At 33.6% G+C, this 18,616-nt stretch overlaps 1 protein-coding gene across 1 annotated transcript in view; it reads left to right on the top strand.

Moving 5' to 3' along the window:
* Positions 1–18,616, top strand: part of CDH9 (cadherin 9) — a 157,990-nt gene that overhangs the window by 116,015 nt on the left and 23,359 nt on the right. The window contains exons 3-5 of the mRNA NM_016279.4: positions 6,648–6,942; positions 15,734–15,853; positions 16,446–16,613. Coding sequence (NP_057363.3) covers positions 6,648–6,942; positions 15,734–15,853; positions 16,446–16,613 — 583 coding nt within the window. The remainder of the gene's footprint in view (positions 1–6,647; positions 6,943–15,733; positions 15,854–16,445; positions 16,614–18,616) is intronic.

Raw genomic sequence — 18,616 nt, 5'->3', positions numbered from 1 at the left:
GGTCTGGTGTTGATGAAGTCCCCTGACTTTTGTTTGTCTATGTAAATCTTTATTTCTCCTCCAATTCTTAAGGATATTTCTACTGGATATACTATTTTAGAATAAAAGTGATTTTTTTTCCTTTAGCACTTTAAATATGTTGTGCCACTCTCTCTTATCCTGTAAGTTTTCCACTGAGATATCTGTTGCCAGGTGCATTTAAGCCCCTTTGTATGTTGTTTTTTTATTTTCTCTTGCTGCTTTTAGGATGCTTTCTTTATGTGTCCTTGACCTTGGAAGTTTGATTAGTAAATGTCTTGTTGTTCTTATTTGGGTTAAATCTGCTTTGTGTTCTATAAACTTCTTGTCCTTGAATATTAATATTTTTTTCTAAATTTTGGAAGTTCTCTGTTATTATTTCTTTGAATAAACTTTCTACTCTCATCTCTCTCTCCTCTTTAAGGCCAATAACTTAATTTTCCCTTTTGAGGCAGTTTTCTAGATCTTGTAGACATCCTTCATTCATTTTTATTCTCTCTTTCTCTCTCTCTCTTTTTTTTTTTTTTGGACTATTTTGTGTTTTTTCAAATAGCCTGTCTTCAAGCTAATTGTTTCTTCTGTTTAATCAATCCCGCTTTTAACATACTCTGATGCATTCTTCAGTGTGCATTTTTTCAGCTCCAGAATTTCTGCTTGATTCCTCTTAGTTATTTTAATCTCTTTGTTAAATTTATCTGATAGAATTCTGAATTCCTTCTCTGTGTTTTCTTGAGTTTCCTCAATATGTTACCGGGAAGTGTGGAGTCCTCGGTTCTTAGACTCACTTGGAAGAAGGAATTCGGCAAAGAGACCATTTAGGCAAAAATAGAGAATTTACTGAAGAAAAGTAGAGAGCAGAGAGTTTATTTAGAGAGACAGTACACTCAAAGATGAGGCAGAGCAGGCTGTCGAAAGTGAATGAATCAGCAACAGCCCCGAGAGTTCTGCATTGGTTTTTATTGATGCCAGATATTTTCTTGAAGTTTCTGTTTCTGTCTTAAGTTTCCACCTTTTTGTTTGTCCAGTTTTTCCACTTGTGCTTTAGTCCTTACCTAGTTCCCGTCCCAGGATGGTGGGATTCTCAGTGACTATTACTTGGTGTGCATGTGTGGGTCCAGTGTTGGATACAAATTCTACCCAATGGCTGCATTGCTTATTCCTGTCACCCCAGGAAGGTTGAGTAGTGGTCAAATCTATACTTATCGTGCCTTGGTATCTCTTAGGAATTTCTCCTTTGCCCTCTTCTCTTCCTTATAAGCTATATTCTGACAGGTTAACTACAGAGTGAGTAATTACTGGGCATCTTAAGGGTGTTCCTTTCAGCATAGGTACTTCCCATCTTCTCTGCTCATATCTGGTATGCATATTTTAGGTGGTCTCTGGGATGTGAGATTTTCCAGACTTCTCTTTTCTCAGGTGCTGTCCCTCCTGCTCATGTCTAGCTATCTGCCTACTCTAACAAAAACGGTATCATGAATCCTCTGTTTGAAAGGTCAGATAGCTCTGTCTTTCCAGAATTAGTACCTGGTGCCCTATTTAGTTCATTTGACGAAGTCATGTTTTCCTCACTAGTCTGAATGCTTGAAGATGTTCATCAGTGACAAAGCATTAAAGAGTTTGATATTTATTGTAGTCTTTTCAGTCTGTGCTTGTTTGACTCGTCCTTCTTGGGAAGGCGTCTCAAGTATTTGAAGGAACATGGGTGTTGTAATCTTTGGTGTCTTTGTCACTGAAGCCATATCTGCATAAGAGAATCCCAGGCTCAGTAATTAATGCTGTGGCTCTTGCAGACTCATAGAGGTACTGCTTTGGTGGTCTTGAGTGAGATCTGGGAGAATTACCTGCATTACCAGGCAAAGACTCTTGCTTTCTTTCTTTTCCCACTTTTCTTCAAGCAAACAGAGTCTGTCTCCCTGCGCTGAGCTGCCTGCAGCTGGGGTAGGGGTGACACAAGCACCCCTGTGGCCCCCGCCACTGGGACTGCACTGGGTGTCTCCCAAGGCCCACAGTAACCACTGCTTGGCTACCGTCTGTGTTCACTCAAGTTTGGAGTGCTCTAAAATCAACACACAGTGAATCTAGCCAGGCTTATATTCTTCCTTTCAGGGCAGTGAGTTTCCCCTGGTCCTAGGTGGGTCCAGAGATGCCACCCAATATCCAAGACCTGAAGTCAGGAACCTTATAAATCTGTGTGGGTTCTCTACTATACTAAAGCTAAGCTGGCATCCAAACCACATGAAAAAATCCCTCAGTCTTCCCTCCCCTTTCCTCAAGCAGAAGAGTCTTTCCCTGTAACCATACCACCTCAGGCCCATGACAAGTACTGCCTAGCTACCGCCAATGTTCACTCAAGGCCCAAGGGCTCTTTTGTCAGCTGCCAGGCCTGGGTCTCTCCCTTCAGGGAAGTGGGCTTCCTTCTGTCCCCAGGCAGGTTCAGAAATGCTGTTCAAGAGCCAAGGCCCATAATTGGTACCCCAGGATTACTTTTGGTGCTCTACCCCACTGTGGCCAAGCTGGTCCACCAGCTGCAAGATAAAGTCCCTCTGCTTCCCTCAAGCAGGATTCTCTTCCCACGACCACCACAGCTGGGAATGTGCTTGATCACACCTGAAGCCAGTACAGCTCTGAGTCTTACCCAAGGCCCACAGCAAGTGTTGCTTGCCTACCACTGCTGATAATTCAGGGTCCAGGGGCTCCTTTAGTCAGCAGATGATGAGTCCTGCCAGAATTGGATTCTTCCCTTAAGGATAGTAGGTTCCCTTCTGGCCCAGGGTGTGTCTGGAAATGGGGGCCTCAGGACCCTGCCCTATCCTACTGTGACTGAGCTGGTATCCAAGTTGCAAGACAAAATCCTCTTTCCCCTCCCACCTCCTATTTTCAAGCAGAGGAAAAGATCCCTCCCAGAGGTGCTAGTTGTGCTGTTGGTGGTTGGGAGAGAGGTGGCACAAGTACACATTTGGCTGCCCTAGTTGGTGTCTCACTAGGTCACATCCCCAGAAAGTCCACTGGCTCTGAGCCGAGCAAGGCACCAGGACTTGTCCAAGAATTACAATTTTTGTGGCCTAGACGGCCCTTCAAGTTTATTTTAGGCCCCAGAACCCTTTAGCCCATGGTAGCAGGACTTGCTGGCATTTGGCTTCTGACCACTGGGATGGGCAATTCCTCTCTGGCCAGGGTTAGTCTAAATGCTTTCTCCATGGGTGCCAGCTGACTTCTACCCTAAGTTGCTTTCCACTGTGACAGGGCAGCATTGAGTTCCAATGCAAAGTTTCACAATCACTACATTCACCTGCTCCAGCACATAGATTCACTCCTCACCATGTGGCTGGTGCAAGGGGATGAGAGAAGAGTGGTCCAGCCAATTCAAGACTGTCTTTTCTACCTTTTTCAGTGCCTCTTTTATTAATATGATGGTAAAATCAGGTACTGTGGTCACTCACCTGATTTTTCATTCATATGAAAGCTTTTTTGTGGATAGTTGTTCAATCTGATGTTCCTGTGGGAGGAATTTTCACTGTAGGCTTGAACTTGGCTGCCTTCCTCCACCTCCTCTTCCACAAATCCATTTTTTAAAAGATGTTAAACTCAGATGTTTTATTAGCCTGGATTCTCCAGAGACACATAAAACATATGTAATTTTATTATAAGGAATTGGATCTCAAGATTATGGAGGCCAGAAAGTTCCAAGAGCTGCAGTTGGCAAGCTGAAGACCCAGGAGAACCATGGTATAGTTTCAGTCTGAGTCCAAAATACTGAGATGCTAGAGAATATATGGTATTGAGTTCCACATCGAGTCTGAGTCCAAAGGCAGGAGAAGATTGATACATTGGCTTGCAGATAGGCAAAGAGAGTAAATTCTCTCTTACTCAGCTTTTTATTTTGTACTCAGGACTTTAAGGGATTGTTTAAAGACTAGTCACCCATACTGAGGTGTGCAATCCACTTTACTAAGTCTAGCCATTCAAATTCAAGTCTATCCATTCAACTTATGTTAAAAAGGCAAGTTTTATTTATGATCTGATTTTATGTGAAAAGTTAGTTTTAAAAAGAGGAAATATTTATGGTCTTCAAGAAATATATGTTAAGTGACTTAATAGAAGAATATCAGTCTTTCCCTTATGTATTTTACAGTTTAGTGGGCATGGTAAACAATTACATCAAATGTGATGAATATCATGATAGGGAATGAAGTGTGCTATGTAAGTCAAGAGCAGGCTCATCCATCCTAATCTAGTGAGTCAGGAAAGGCCTCCCTAAGGAGGAAATTGTAAAATGAAATATGACAAATACTTAGTTAGAGGAAAATACAAAAAAGAAGGTAAAGGTGTAAAAAGGTGAGGGAAACAGATGCAAACATCAGGCTTGAAAGCTAGAACAGGCCTTCTGAGACATAAAGGCAAAACAAAACAATTGCTATGTATAGAATGTATAGCAAGAGGGAAAAGAGGCAGAGATGCCTCTGGAATTCAGGGCCAGATTATCCTGGATGTATAAATAAGGTTATAGAATTCAAGCAATTACATTAATAATAAAAGTAAAGTTTTAAAAAGTTATATTTTTTCAATAAAATAAACTTAGATTTAAAAACAAACAAGCAAACCACAGGCCAATATAACACCAAAATGTGCATGATGCTAACTCTGGTTTTTATGACTTCAGGTTTACAGTTCTTAAATGCTGTGACTTGAAGATGTTTAATCTAGATTGTAATAAGACTACATTTGTGATGTGGAAAAATCACCCTCTTTAGTATGAAAAATTGCTTGGAGTAGAGCAAGAGTGGAGGCAGCATGATTAGAAGATTGCTCTGGTGGTCCAGAGAAGATAAGATGAAGGAAAATACATGATGTAGCCATAGAGATGGAGACAGATGTCTTGAGAAGATATTTCAGAGATGGGAAGGCTACATGTGACAATTATTTTGATGCTGAGCTTGCAAAGGAGGTGTAAAATGTGAAACATTTCTAATTTTGGCTATGATTTAAAAACATAATTTAAATAGTCAAATAATTCAAAGATAAAATGGAATGCTGAAGAAATAGGTGAGGGCAGGATGTAAATGGGAATTGTAAAGTATATGATGTAAGTCAACATAACAGGGGTAAGCTAGTTAAAACTCCATTTTTATCTAAAATTTACTTTCTTGATAATTTCAAATATATAGTTTATTATTTATTATAGTCACCATGCAGGGCAAAAGACCACTGAAGATTATTACTCCTGAATAAATAAAATTTTGCATTCCTTGATCAATATCTCCCATCTGCATCCACATCCTTGTAAATGTTCTCACCACAAAAAAAAAGATAAGTATGTGAGGTGATGAATTTGTTAATTAGTTTGATTTAATAATTTTATAATGTAAGCATATATCAAAATATACTGTAGTCATAATTTTATGATAAAACAATTACTGTTTTCAATTAATTTTAAAAAATTATTTTCAGAATCGTGTTAGGATTGTAAAATCTTTAAGGTTGTTTTTCAATTCGTAATTCCTAGGATTACATGGTCTGTTTGTTGTAAATATTCAATGATCAGCCTCCTACATTAAGAAGTTATTTTTACAGATGGACATTTATCAATGAAAAGAAGATAATTTATGAAAACATAATCCTATTTTTTCCTAAGACATAGTTCATATGGCCAGAGGACAGGCTGTGAGTTTTATATTACTTGAAATCTAAAAGGTATAAAAAATAAAACATTTTCTAAAAATGAGAACATCGTGGTTGAAGAACTATTCTCTCAGAGTCGTATAGAAAATAAGTAATTACAAATCTCTTTCTCTCTCTGATTAGTCTCTCTGAATACAGAGCCCGTGAATCTACAATCAATGTTCTACAGTAGTTCCCCCTTAATCATGGTTTCACTTTCTGAGGTTTTAATTACCCACAGTAAATAACAACAAGATATTTTGAGAGAGAGAGAAAGAGAGACCATTCAAATAACTTTTGTTACGGTATATGGTTATAATTGCTCAATTTTATCATTAGTTATTGTTGCTTATCACTTATTGTGCCTAATTTATTAATTAAACTTTGTCATAGGAAGGTACATATAGGAAAAAACACAATATATACAGGTTTCGGTACACTCCACAGTTTCAGGGATCCACTTATAAAATGTATCCCCCACAGATAAGGGGATACTCTGTACTGAAGGAGAATAAAATCAGTTAAAAATTAAGGTAGCTATTCTGAACTTGTCATTATAATACCTTCAGAAATCTCTCAAATCATATCTTAGAGCTTAGTCATTTTAAATGTAATCAACATTAATTAATCTTTTACACTCAAGATGTAGGTTAATGGATTTTTTTGTAATGCACTGGAGGTTTAAATCTTGGTAACATTTTATTCATAAATATCTTTGTTTTGACAGATACATATTAATTTTCACATTATTTTAAATCTAGTCCATTATGATGTCTAAATATGACTGTTAAAAATTTTGAGTGTAATAAGAACTGAAATATTTAACTCCCTCTCACAGCAAAAGTCAAGATAACCATTAAGATAATTATTGCAGAGCTGTTATATGGAGACGAATTGATAGCGCCAAAATTATGTTTTATGTAATGATAATGTATATATTTACAGAACTCTTCTTTTCTACCTCTCTAAAGCTTCACACTGACCAAGATAAAGGAGATGGAAATTTAAAATACATACTAACAGGAGATGGGGCTGGCAGTCTATTTGTTATAGATGAAAATACAGGAGACATTCATGCTGCAAAGAAACTAGACAGAGAAGAAAAATCTCTGTACATTCTTCGTGCCAAGGCTATAGACAGAAAAACTGGGCGGCAGGTGGAACCGGAATCGGAATTTATCATTAAAATACATGATATCAATGACAATGAGCCAAAATTTACAAAAGACTTATACACTGCCAGTGTTCCTGAAATGTCTGGAGTCGGTAGGTATATTCTAATCCATGTAAACTACTTTTTATTTGTTTGTTTGCTCAGGTAATTATTATTGACTTGTGGTTATGATATGTGGCCTCTTTCAGAATAAGAGTTATAACTGTTAACTACTATTTAGCTTAAACTAGCTCTTCTATTTTTATTTCTATATATCTTAATTCTCCTGTTATGTTGTAATTTATATAAAATATGATTATCAATAGCAGTTAATTCATTTTATTTCAATCAATACCCTCAACTCTACTAACTGGCATTCAAATGGCAGTCAAGTGGAATGTATTTTTGCCAGAAATCAAAAGAATAATAGATAGTATCAGCAGTTTTGGACAATTTTGCTTGCATTATTTTGAATAACAATGCTTGCATTTGGCAAATTTCTACTGAAGTGTTTTTTCATTTGATCATTAAAGCCAACTTATGTGGTAGGCATGAGAAATAGAACTTTAAATCCCTATTCTGTTAATTAGAAACTCAAGATTCAGAAAGATTAAGCAACTGAATTAAGATCAAATAACCTGGTAGCATCATGACAAGATTGCAAGTCTCTTTATGTTATTTTTGTGCACATTCTACCACTGAACATTGCCTTATGCAAACTGAAAATAATTGTTTCACTTCTTAAGGCTGCCCACCATTTTAGATACCACTTGTGCGGAGTTTTATATGTGTATGACTACATTTAACTCTATTAATATAAAAGGTTTAGGTTTGTTAACGAGACAATGAGAACTGATTCACATCATAAAAATATTTCTAAAATAACTGACATAAACTTAATTTACAAGATCTGCAGCCAATTTCCCAAATTTGATACAATTTAGTTGAATACTATTTCAAAACCAGTTTTCAGTGTATGATTTTGACATTCTTATAACTAATATATGTTTCAGTCTAAAATAATTTCTATAGAAGGAGAAACAAACTTATCCACCTTTACTGAATGTTTAATGTAAAATGTTAACTATGTGAGATATTTAGCAGGAAGAACCAAGAATTTTTAAAAACGTATTTATTCTCACCTCAAATGAAATGTCATCTAATTGAGGAAAACACAGTTAAATAGAACTGAAATAGCACTTTCAGGTATTCACTCTAATAAAACAAAAGGAATTTATCAAATTAGACAGGAGTCCTGTGAAATCATAAAGCTCTAATACAAAAAATGAGTGGATATGTTCCCTGTTATATTTTTTAGTATCTTAGTTGCATGGAAAGTACTAGATTGGTTTGTATAGGTCGACCAGTGCGCTAATTTAAACACATACCATGTTTTTTTTAATGGGTTTATATGTGAGATTAAGGTACATATAAAATTACACTCATCAATTTCCTATTGATGATTATTTTAAAGTAATTCTGTTTTTGTTAGTACCTTTTGTAAAATATTATTGTTTCTCTTGTGTACATATTATTTTACCAGATATGTTGAAACCTTACAATATAAAACTTTCACTTATCCTTCCCCAGAAAGATTTGACATACCTAGAAAAGTAAAAAGTATAATTAAGATAATGGAAATATTTGAATATGAGAAACTTTAAGAATAATTATTTTAAATGTGAATACACAAAGTATTTCAAAGAAGTACCCCACTTTTTTGAAAAAACAAGTATTTCCCTATCAGAGACTATTGATATTTAATCGCACATAACCTGTATTTTCTCCTACATTGTTTTCTGATACTTAATGGACTATTATATTTTACTCTGTGTATTACTATTTGTCACCTGTATACATAATTCAAATGTATTTTGTCTCATGTGAAATACTAATACAACTAGGTTCTATTAATATTTGTTGAGTAACAATATCAGAACTGAAATATGCACACACACACACACACACACACACACACACACACAAACATATATGTATATATTTTAGAATCCTTCACTGGTTCCATCACTCATAATAAAATATACAATATATAAGTTTATGCATGAAAGATGTTTTGTAGTTTATATTGTACAAACTATCTTTCTGTAAGGCAATCTATATTTCATTTACATAAGCTTTAAAGTGTAAGCAGTACAACTTCGGATCAGTGTAGGTTGCAGATACAAGGATTTGAGCCATTGTCAGTTGCATTCACTACCTGGCTAGAATTCCCACAAAATGAGACAAGGATATAGTAGCAGGCAGATGTATGGCTCTGGCTGCAGCTTTTGGAACTAAAAAATAAAGATTTAAGAATACAGATAAATTTTAATCCTATTTGTAGAGGACAATTGTTATTCTTCATTACTAATACTAACATTATATTACTTGCTTCCACTTTGGTTCACCTATAACTTTGTATGTGCTTCCATTACCTAAATATAAATGTATAATATATTATATACAATATGCATATGCAGAAGATACTATATTTGGTTTAATTGCCTATTTTAATAAATACAAAAACATGAGCCCAGAAGAATTAAACTGACTTGGCCAAGTTACTACTAGCCTAATTTTAAAAAGAAAAACAAAAGTTAATAGATGCAGAGTGTATTAGTCTGTTTTATGCTGTTGATAAAGTCATATCCGAGACTGGGAAGAAAAGGAGATTTAATGGAATTACAGTTCCACATGGCTGAGGAGGCCTCACAATCATCATGGCAGAAGGCAAGGAGTTGCAAATCATGTCTTACACGGATGGCAGCAGGCAAAGAAAGAGAGCTTGTGCAGGGAAACTCCTGTTTTTAAAACCATCAGATGTCTTGGGACTTATTCACTCTCAGGAGAAAGATGCAGAAAAGACCCTCCCCCATAATTCAATCACCTTCCCATCAGGGCCTCCCGTGACACATGGGAATTGTGGGAGTCACAATTCAAGATAAGATTTGGGTGGGAACATAGCCAAACCATATCACAGAGATAGCTGGACAATTTTATGCCTTACTATTTTTCTCTGTTAAGTAGTTATGTTTATTATTTATTATTCAAAATCTAGTCTGGAAATCTTTTAATTTATTCAATCGTGAGTAACTCCTGTAAATTAGTATCTTTCTTATTTATTACTTTAAATCAAATGTCCTTCTCATTTAAATTAAATCTAAATAAGAATATAAGGGGATAAAACCCCTGCATTTTAATACATACATATCTATATATATCTGTATATATATAAAACTATATATAATCACATATATCACTATATATAACCATATAAATGTGTCTAAATAAAAAGTAGATATATTTTACCTCATAAACTTGTATTGATCTTTTATTGTAACTCTCCTACCTTATTTAAAGGAAAATAAAAGACTAACATTATAATTATTGCAGGTGTGATTTTCTTTACTCCTATGTATCCAAATAAACCAATTTACATAGGAAAACTAACAAGTAATATTTAGGAACTCTGTCATGCCTTGTGTATCCCATATATTAACAGTTAAATCTGATGCATAATCAAAGAATTAAGAATACATCTATAAATAATACACAATGATTTAATTCTAAAATTATTTTCAGATAGTACAAGATATTTTCATTTAAATCAAAGAGTTAAAAACTGCAAGTATTAGCTTTGTGAAGAAATAGAGTCTTATGGAATAAGATAAGATTTCTCTATTATTGCCCTACTCTTCTTTACAATGTTATTTTCTGTTGATCTCTATTTATCTGCCCCTTATTTCCATTCATTTTTATTTCTTAAAGTATTTGTTTCTTCTTCTTCTCTCTTACCAACTCCTTCCCTTCTTGTTTCCCTCTGCTTCAGTTTCTGTCTGTCACAATCATATGCCATATTTCACATTGGATTTTTAGTGCCAAATGCCCAACCCATTTTCGGTTAAAATAAAATGACTCCAATAAACTCATGAAATCTGAAATACACTAGCATATTCTAATCAGAACATATAATCTGGAAGATATACAAAGATATATATTTAAAGATAATGGGATACACTTTGATTACAATGTTTTGTATTTTCCATTTCTATTTCTACTTTTTTTTTTCTTGTGATCATTACACTATTGATAAAATATTTTCTATCAACTTGCTTCATGTGCATGCTTTCGTCTTCACCTAGGCAAATTTTTGTTTTGTAAATTTGGTGATTGGGGATGCTTCCTTTCTCAGTGACTGGAAATTTCCCCCACCTTCACTCTCAAAAACCTATCCAGTCCTCTTCCTAACACTTTGACCCCCAACCAGGAATCCCTTTGTAATTTTTTACAGACAACAAAAATAACTCGGTCAATGAATTCTTCATGTCCCAGAGGTTCACTATGTGTGGATTCAATAATGTATCCAATTGTATTTCTAACACCAGAGAGATAGGCCGTTTGGTAAAGTATTTATAAAGAAAATTCTTGACCAAATATATTTATAATGGACTTTGACCTAGTCCAGCTCTATCACATACCGGGTTTGTGGTCATTAGCAACTTCTATGTACGCCAAGGCCCACATCCCACATGTATCATGAGGATTAAGTAATAAAAACTAGTCAGGTGCTGAGAACTATGTCTAGTCTACATTAAGCATTCTGTGAAAGTTAGTTCTTAGGATTTTGCACTAGATTCTCTGCTGGGTTTTAAGTATAAAGTGTTGAACAAACTAGATATGGACTCTGCCCTTAAAGAGTTTGCATTTCACAGTAAAATAAACTTATATCTAACAAAGCATGATTTAAATTCCTGGACATCGAATTAATGGACCCCTTATAATTCCATGACACTGTCTGAAAACATCACCCCTACTTCTCTTATTAGTGGCCCCCACAGCACAAACATTTATGTCAAGGGCACTGTTTACCCCTGCTCCTCAAATTAGTGGCTGTCATCGCCCTATGGCAGAAGAAAACAGTTGACTCTGTCAAAACCAGATTCATATAGAGGTGTGAAGACTAAACTCGTTTTTCACTTTCTGTAACTTTCGTTAACTTATTCTCACACTGAAGCAAGTCAAAATATTCCAGTCTCTTTTCTACAGTGCTCAAAAGACAGGCCTTAGGCTACAGGGCAGGAAAAAGCCCATACTATTCACCTCTTTTCTTTGTTTCCTCTAGTTCATAGAGTGATTCTGTTTCTTTAAACTTTAGTTGGTTTTACCATTCTATCAACCACTCCAGACATATGGAAAGACAGATGATAGATAGATATACATAGATACAGATAAAGAGAATGTGTGTGAGAGAGAGAAAGCTTTTACATGTTATACAACATAATAGGCTGTGATACATATTTTCTGACATTACCATGCCACAAAGTTGCTGTTTGTTAAAGAAGAATAAAGGCAGTATTTCCCCTTCTCTATACTATCTGTGTGTAGAAAACCGTTTAAATTAGTAACATTTATACTGACTAAGTAATCTTTGTATACAAATATTTTATTGTAAGTTTATATAGAGAGATAATTAATGCCAGATAGATAGATAGATAGATAGATAGATAGATAGATAGATGGATGATAGATACGAGGCCTAGGTTTTGGGGTCATTTACATTTGCGATTTTAAATATTTCAAACACTAGATTCAAAACATTTTCATATTTGCATATAAGGCACAAATATATAGAGGGATGTTTTTTCTTTTATATATGAAGTTTATTTTGTATAGTGTAATAAAATGAATTGATTTAACTTCCTCTAATATGATGTGTAAATATATATGTAAGACCAACTGGCATAACTTGGTTACATTGTGTAATCTAAACTTTTCTTATCTTTAAATTATAATAATAATTATATTGATGAATTTTTCTCCCATATCCAGAGGAATGCTTTTGGTTCCCCAAAATCTTTAGCCACCGAATTATTTATCAGCTTTTAACATTTCTTCATGATTTACTATTATAGAATTAGCCTTTGAGTCTTTGAAATTTTCCTAAAGATTATTAGTTATACAGTTAAGTAAATAATGAGTTAAGAATTACAGTAAACTTCTTTGATTCCTTAACATATTTTCTATTTAAAGTAAGATATTATATGCAAAACTCATAAAAATGTGAATTGCAAAAATAATGGTCTCGCGAATACTAGATGACGAGTTAGTGGGTGCAGCGCACCAGCATGGCACATGTATACATATGTAACTAACCTGCACAATGTGCACATGTACCCTAAAACTTAAAGTATAATAAAAAAAAAAAAGAAAAAAAATGGTCTCAAAATCGTGTTTACCTCTTTGATATGAGATGCAATATATAAATTTGTCATTCAAGTTTCACTATATTTTACTTACTATATTTTTATCTTTAATATGAAAATAAAATATTTATTTTAAATAACTAAAGAACAAATAAAAATTATACATATTTTGGAAAATTTAGTGGGATGTAAATATCCATGTGTATTCTCTTTTATTTTGTCTCTATAAAGAAACATTTATAAAATTAGTATAAAATGGCTGGGCACGGTGGCTCACGCCTGTAATCCCAACACTTTGGGAGGCCAAGGCGGGCGATCATGAGGTCAGGAGATCGAGACCATCCTGGCTAACATGGGAAACCCCGTCTCTACTAAAAATACAAAAAAGATTAGCCAGGCTTGGTGGCGGGCACCTGTAGTCCCAGCTACTCGGGAGGCTGAGGCAGGAGAATGGCGTGAACCCGGGAGGCGGAGGTTGTAGTGAGCCGAGATTGCGCCACTGCACTCCAGCCTGGGCTACAGAGTGAGACTGCATCTCAAAAAAAACAAAAATTAATATAAAACATATAAACCATTTTCTATTTAATTTTATTACTAAATGCTTTTAACTTTTAATTACACCTCTGAAAAAAACTACAACTCTTTATTCCCTATAATCTAACACACTGTCTCTCAGTTTGCTAAAAAATAACATATCAATGATATTTTGTCAGTGACTACCAGTGTTTAAAAGCATTCTTAATTATTACCAGAGCTCTGAGAGGTGGAACAAGTATTTTATGTGTGCTTTTAGCTTTTTGGCCACATCATAGAGTTTATTTCTGTTGTTTATATTAACTTCTTTCTCTTTGTTAAGCGTCCTTGCGTAACTTCAAAGATCATCTACCGACTAATAGAGCTAATAATCGAAATTAAAATTCCACAAAAATATTATTTGAAAGAGTCAAATAAACATAAAAGATTGTTTTTACCTGTACCCATTATGAAAGCTTACAATAATGTTCATGTTAAAAGAAAAATAAAATGGGTAACTCAAGAAATGTCCTAAAATTGATGAACGAACTACTTGTATTTTCAGCATATTGGTAATGCTTAATAATTCATATTTCAATAACCTCCAATTGTGAAAACCACACTTATTCTAATATATATCACATAGGGTTATATAAAAAGGACATTACATGTAAATTAAAAAAAAACACTTGTTGAACTTCTGCACATCATAAAGTGATTTGTGTGGGGGGAATGTAAATCACTTTATCATTTTTGCTTTCATCTAATGAACACATGGGTGGATAATTTTTTAATGATAAAAGCTTACAGCTGGAATGGATTAAGTAAATATGCAATGTTTCCATTCACTCACAGGACACATCAATTCCATCACAGTTGAGAAAACAGAGGCCTCAAGAGAATGAGCTCAAGTTGTCATTGTTATGCTAATTAATTTTGAGAAAACATTAAAAAGCCTTGCTCAATTGATGTGTTAACATTCAAACATATTGACAGGAAATGAGCTGTTAATATTGATCTTAATTACTATATATTAATTTTTGGAATTGGCATACACATATACACGCAACATTTGAGAAACATCCACCATAATTCAATTAGACAAGTTATTGAGTGTGTAATGCATGTGGGCTATTAAATTAGGTGGTAGGGCCAATATGGAATTCCTCCTATTTTCAAAATCTTTAAAATGTATGTAAGAGTGAGACTCAAACTTTTAGAAATTATGTAAAATATACTGAAAAATGTCCTACAATCTAGCTTTGTCCAAGGGCAAACCTAGTAGGCTTCATTTAAGGGTGATGTCAGAACCATGCTTTGAATCTTTATAGAAATTCAGGAAAAGATAATTTTAAAAATTCATCAATATATTTTATTATGCTGATCCCTGCTTTTAAAGCACTTTTATGTTTTGAAAGATTTGAAACAAAATTTAACATAATTTAAATTTAATGATATAAAATTAGATAGTAAGGTTAAATTGCAGTATTGCATGTGACACAGAATTACACACTTTAGATCTTCTTTTGGAGAATAATGATTTACAAATGTGCAGCAAATAACCAGTATTATGCAGCATATCAATAGAGGTAATCATAAGAACCATATTATCTATATTTAAAAGAGAGGCATAGGCCCTTCATAATTAGGTATATCTTGGGAACAAAAAATATCTTGCAGGTCAATTTTACAGCATTTTGGTTTATTTCTTCATAGAAATTTTCTCTTTATTTTTTTATTTTATTTACCATTTACAGTCAAATATACCAGAATAAAAAGCAGCAGCAGGTTAAAAAATGTTAGATTTATCTTTTAAATACATGTTTCCAGTTAGTGGTAAATGTATTAATTACAAATTTCATGTGTGTTATATTCATTTTAAGAATGTTTGCCCTAAAACACTTCCAATCAATTAAAAATGTGATGCATTAATTAGTCTTATTATATTCACCTTACTGATAATATATTTTGATACTTTTTCTTAGATAAACAAAAAAATTAAGAAACACTTCAGTTTATAGAAAATGAGAAAGGAAAGTAACTTTTTTGAGGAAGTATTTAAATAAATTTCTTCAAACATACAACATCGTCTAATACAAAACACTGAGAGCAACATATTTTTAAGAAAGATTGTTTCAGATTTGGAAGTATGTAAATGTCTCTGTTTGGGGATGGGGGTTTCATGTAGGTACATCTGTTATACAAGTAACTGCAACAGATGCAGATGACGCCAACTATGGAAATAGTGCCAAAGTGGTCTATAGCATATTGCAAGGACAGCCATATTTTTCAGTGGACCCAGAATCAGGTACAACATTTAAACTTGGCTGACTTCTTATTGTATAATACATTAAGATGCATAATTAATTTAGAGATTTTTAAAATATTTTAAAACCATTATTCTTTCAGTTTCATGTTTCTATTTGTTTCCTGTCATTATTGGATGTAAACAAATGCAAACTTTCTATTATTTTAATAACTTATTTGAACCCTTAGCTCTTTAAACTATTATTCATTGGGTTTAAATTTGAAACACTAAATACAAAATTTCACAGAGATTCAGCACATTATGTGGCATAGAGAATACTCAAAACTTGAATATGACAATTATCAAAATTAAACAACTGTATATGTCTAAAGATTTTTGACTGAAGTTAATTTTTGTAATCAAAAAAATTAAATACATTGATTTAGCAAAACCCATTTCATGAACTATAGCCCGTGGGAAAATCCTTCCTGTTCTGTGAATTATCTTAAAGTGGTTATGGATTGAAGGACATATTTAAATACACTGACATTTTATGTTTGTTATAATCAACTTTTGTAAAATGAGTCTTGTCTAGCTTAATTTTAAAACTCAGCGATTTAATTGCAAAACTTTTGTCTGCTTTTTCCAAAAGGCATAATAAAAACTGCATTACCAGACATGAGCAGAGAAAATAGAGAGCAGTACCAGGTTGTTATACAGGCCAAAGACATGGGTGGCCAGATGGGAGGCCTTTCTGGAACCACCACAGTGAACATCACGCTGACAGATGTCAACAACAACCCTCCTCGATTTCCCCAGAGTAAGAAATGTTTCAGTGATCTCATGTCCAAAAACTTCTCAAATACACTAGTAGCCGAGTTTAATATTCACATTTCATACTAGTAGTTTTGCTATTGGTTTATGCATAAAGAAAAAACCATAATCCATTCCTCTACCAAAAAAAAAACACAATTTCCCACAAATAGAGAGTGATGGTGATTATTTTCATCATTTTTTGGAGTATGTAGTGGAAGAAAACAAAGTATTAAGCTTCTCTGGCAACTTTTAAATTAACTTCTCTAACTTTGAAGGATTATAAAGTTTTCCAGACTTCCTTTCTCATCATTCACTGAGATTGTCTCAACATTTTCCTTTGGATCCACTTCTTGGTTAGGAGGGTGGGCTCTCATGTCTGCCTATCTGGATTCAAATCCTGTGTCTCTCACTTGTCTTACCTCAGCTACCTTGTTTTACACGCAGACTTATAATCTCTTATCTAACTGATTCTGAAACACAGACTTCTTGATAGTTTAAAGATATCAGTGCAGATGGGCTTATTTAGCATCATTTTTATATTTTCCTAGTGGCCCATAGAGTTATGGTTTACTATGTTTGTGAGGGCATTTTAGACGTATTCAAGTTTGGTAGTATCTCTGGTACTAAGTTATGAAGATTACATCAGTTAACACTCTTTCAGTTGTCACCATTTTAGGATAGACATTAAACCATGGATGCTTTGCATTTCATGATGTCCTGCAGAAAAAGATTTCCATTCTCTGCTGAAATTTGTTATTTTGCAGTGAATAAATATATAAGGACCCCTATTTCAAAATATTCAATTAAATGCTGAAACTTAAATTCATATCGCTAATCTCAATACAGTAAAACATTTTTCCAGGCCAATTATATTTAAAATGTTGTATTGATCTTTGATTGGTGGACATATTCATATGTTATATGTAAAACAATAAAGTTTGCTGAGAACATAAATAATAAGCCTAAATAACATAAACTTAATCTTTGCATTCATATTCCTTTATAAAGAGACTCGATGCATTTTTAATGCCTTGACATTCTGTAATTCTGTTATCTATAATAATGCTAACAAAACTTTGGAACTATAAGAGTAATAATAAAATATTAAGGACTAGACCCAGAACTAAATTTTTGTAACCCATAAAACAAACCTATGAGTGAATTACTATCATTATCATCCTTATTTCTTAGACGCAGACATCAAAGTTTAGCGAATTTAACTAACTGGCCAGGTGGTCAGAATTCAAACCCAGGCAGTTGAATTTATTTACTCATATTCTTAACCACCAAATAAATTGGAAAGAATATAGACTTTGAAGTCAGAAAGAATTAGTTTTTGCATCCTCCCTTTCCCAAGTCTGCAGGATAATTTCCTTAAGACCTGCCCCTGAAGATGATATAGCTAAATTGGTCCTTTGAGGACTAGTGTGAGGATTAAATAAATTAGCATATAAGCCTTTAGACCTTGTATAGACTGCAGCACATTGTAAATGTTTAAAAATATTTCTGACCTTCATTAACATTAAAGTTTTCTTTTTTCTATTGTCTCTTGAATAGGTAGCCACAAACTAAAATGCTTTTTAGGGTTACCAGAATACAATATAACACTTGCCTGAACCTACAAAAAATACAAACATCCATGCCCCACTAAAAGATATTAAAACTAAAACAAACAGCAAAAAAAAGAAACATTGGTCTGTATGGCATTATTTTTTATTCCTGATTTAGAATAAAATAATAAATGCATTTTAAAAAAAATAATTGAATACATGTTAAAAAAAAAAGTGTGATGACCATTTTGAAAGCCCCAGATGAGCAGTAAATATTTGTTTTTCATGTTCTTTTAAGCCAAAAGTTCTGGATTCTTATATCAGGCCTACCATCTATAGTCTAAATAAATTTGGGACATTCTCTAATTTTTTTTTCTGGGACTTACACTTCTCATTTACTAAATGAGAGTGTTCTGTTTTATAAATTATTTTTCCAAATTAATAAATATACAATTTT

This window comes from Homo sapiens, chromosome 5, assembly GCF_000001405.40.
Source record: "Homo sapiens chromosome 5, GRCh38.p14 Primary Assembly".
In the NCBI taxonomy this organism is placed as follows: domain Eukaryota; kingdom Metazoa; phylum Chordata; class Mammalia; order Primates; family Hominidae; genus Homo; species Homo sapiens.
The sequence above is the reverse complement of the archived record's forward strand: the minus strand, read 5'-3'. Positions and strand labels throughout refer to the sequence as shown.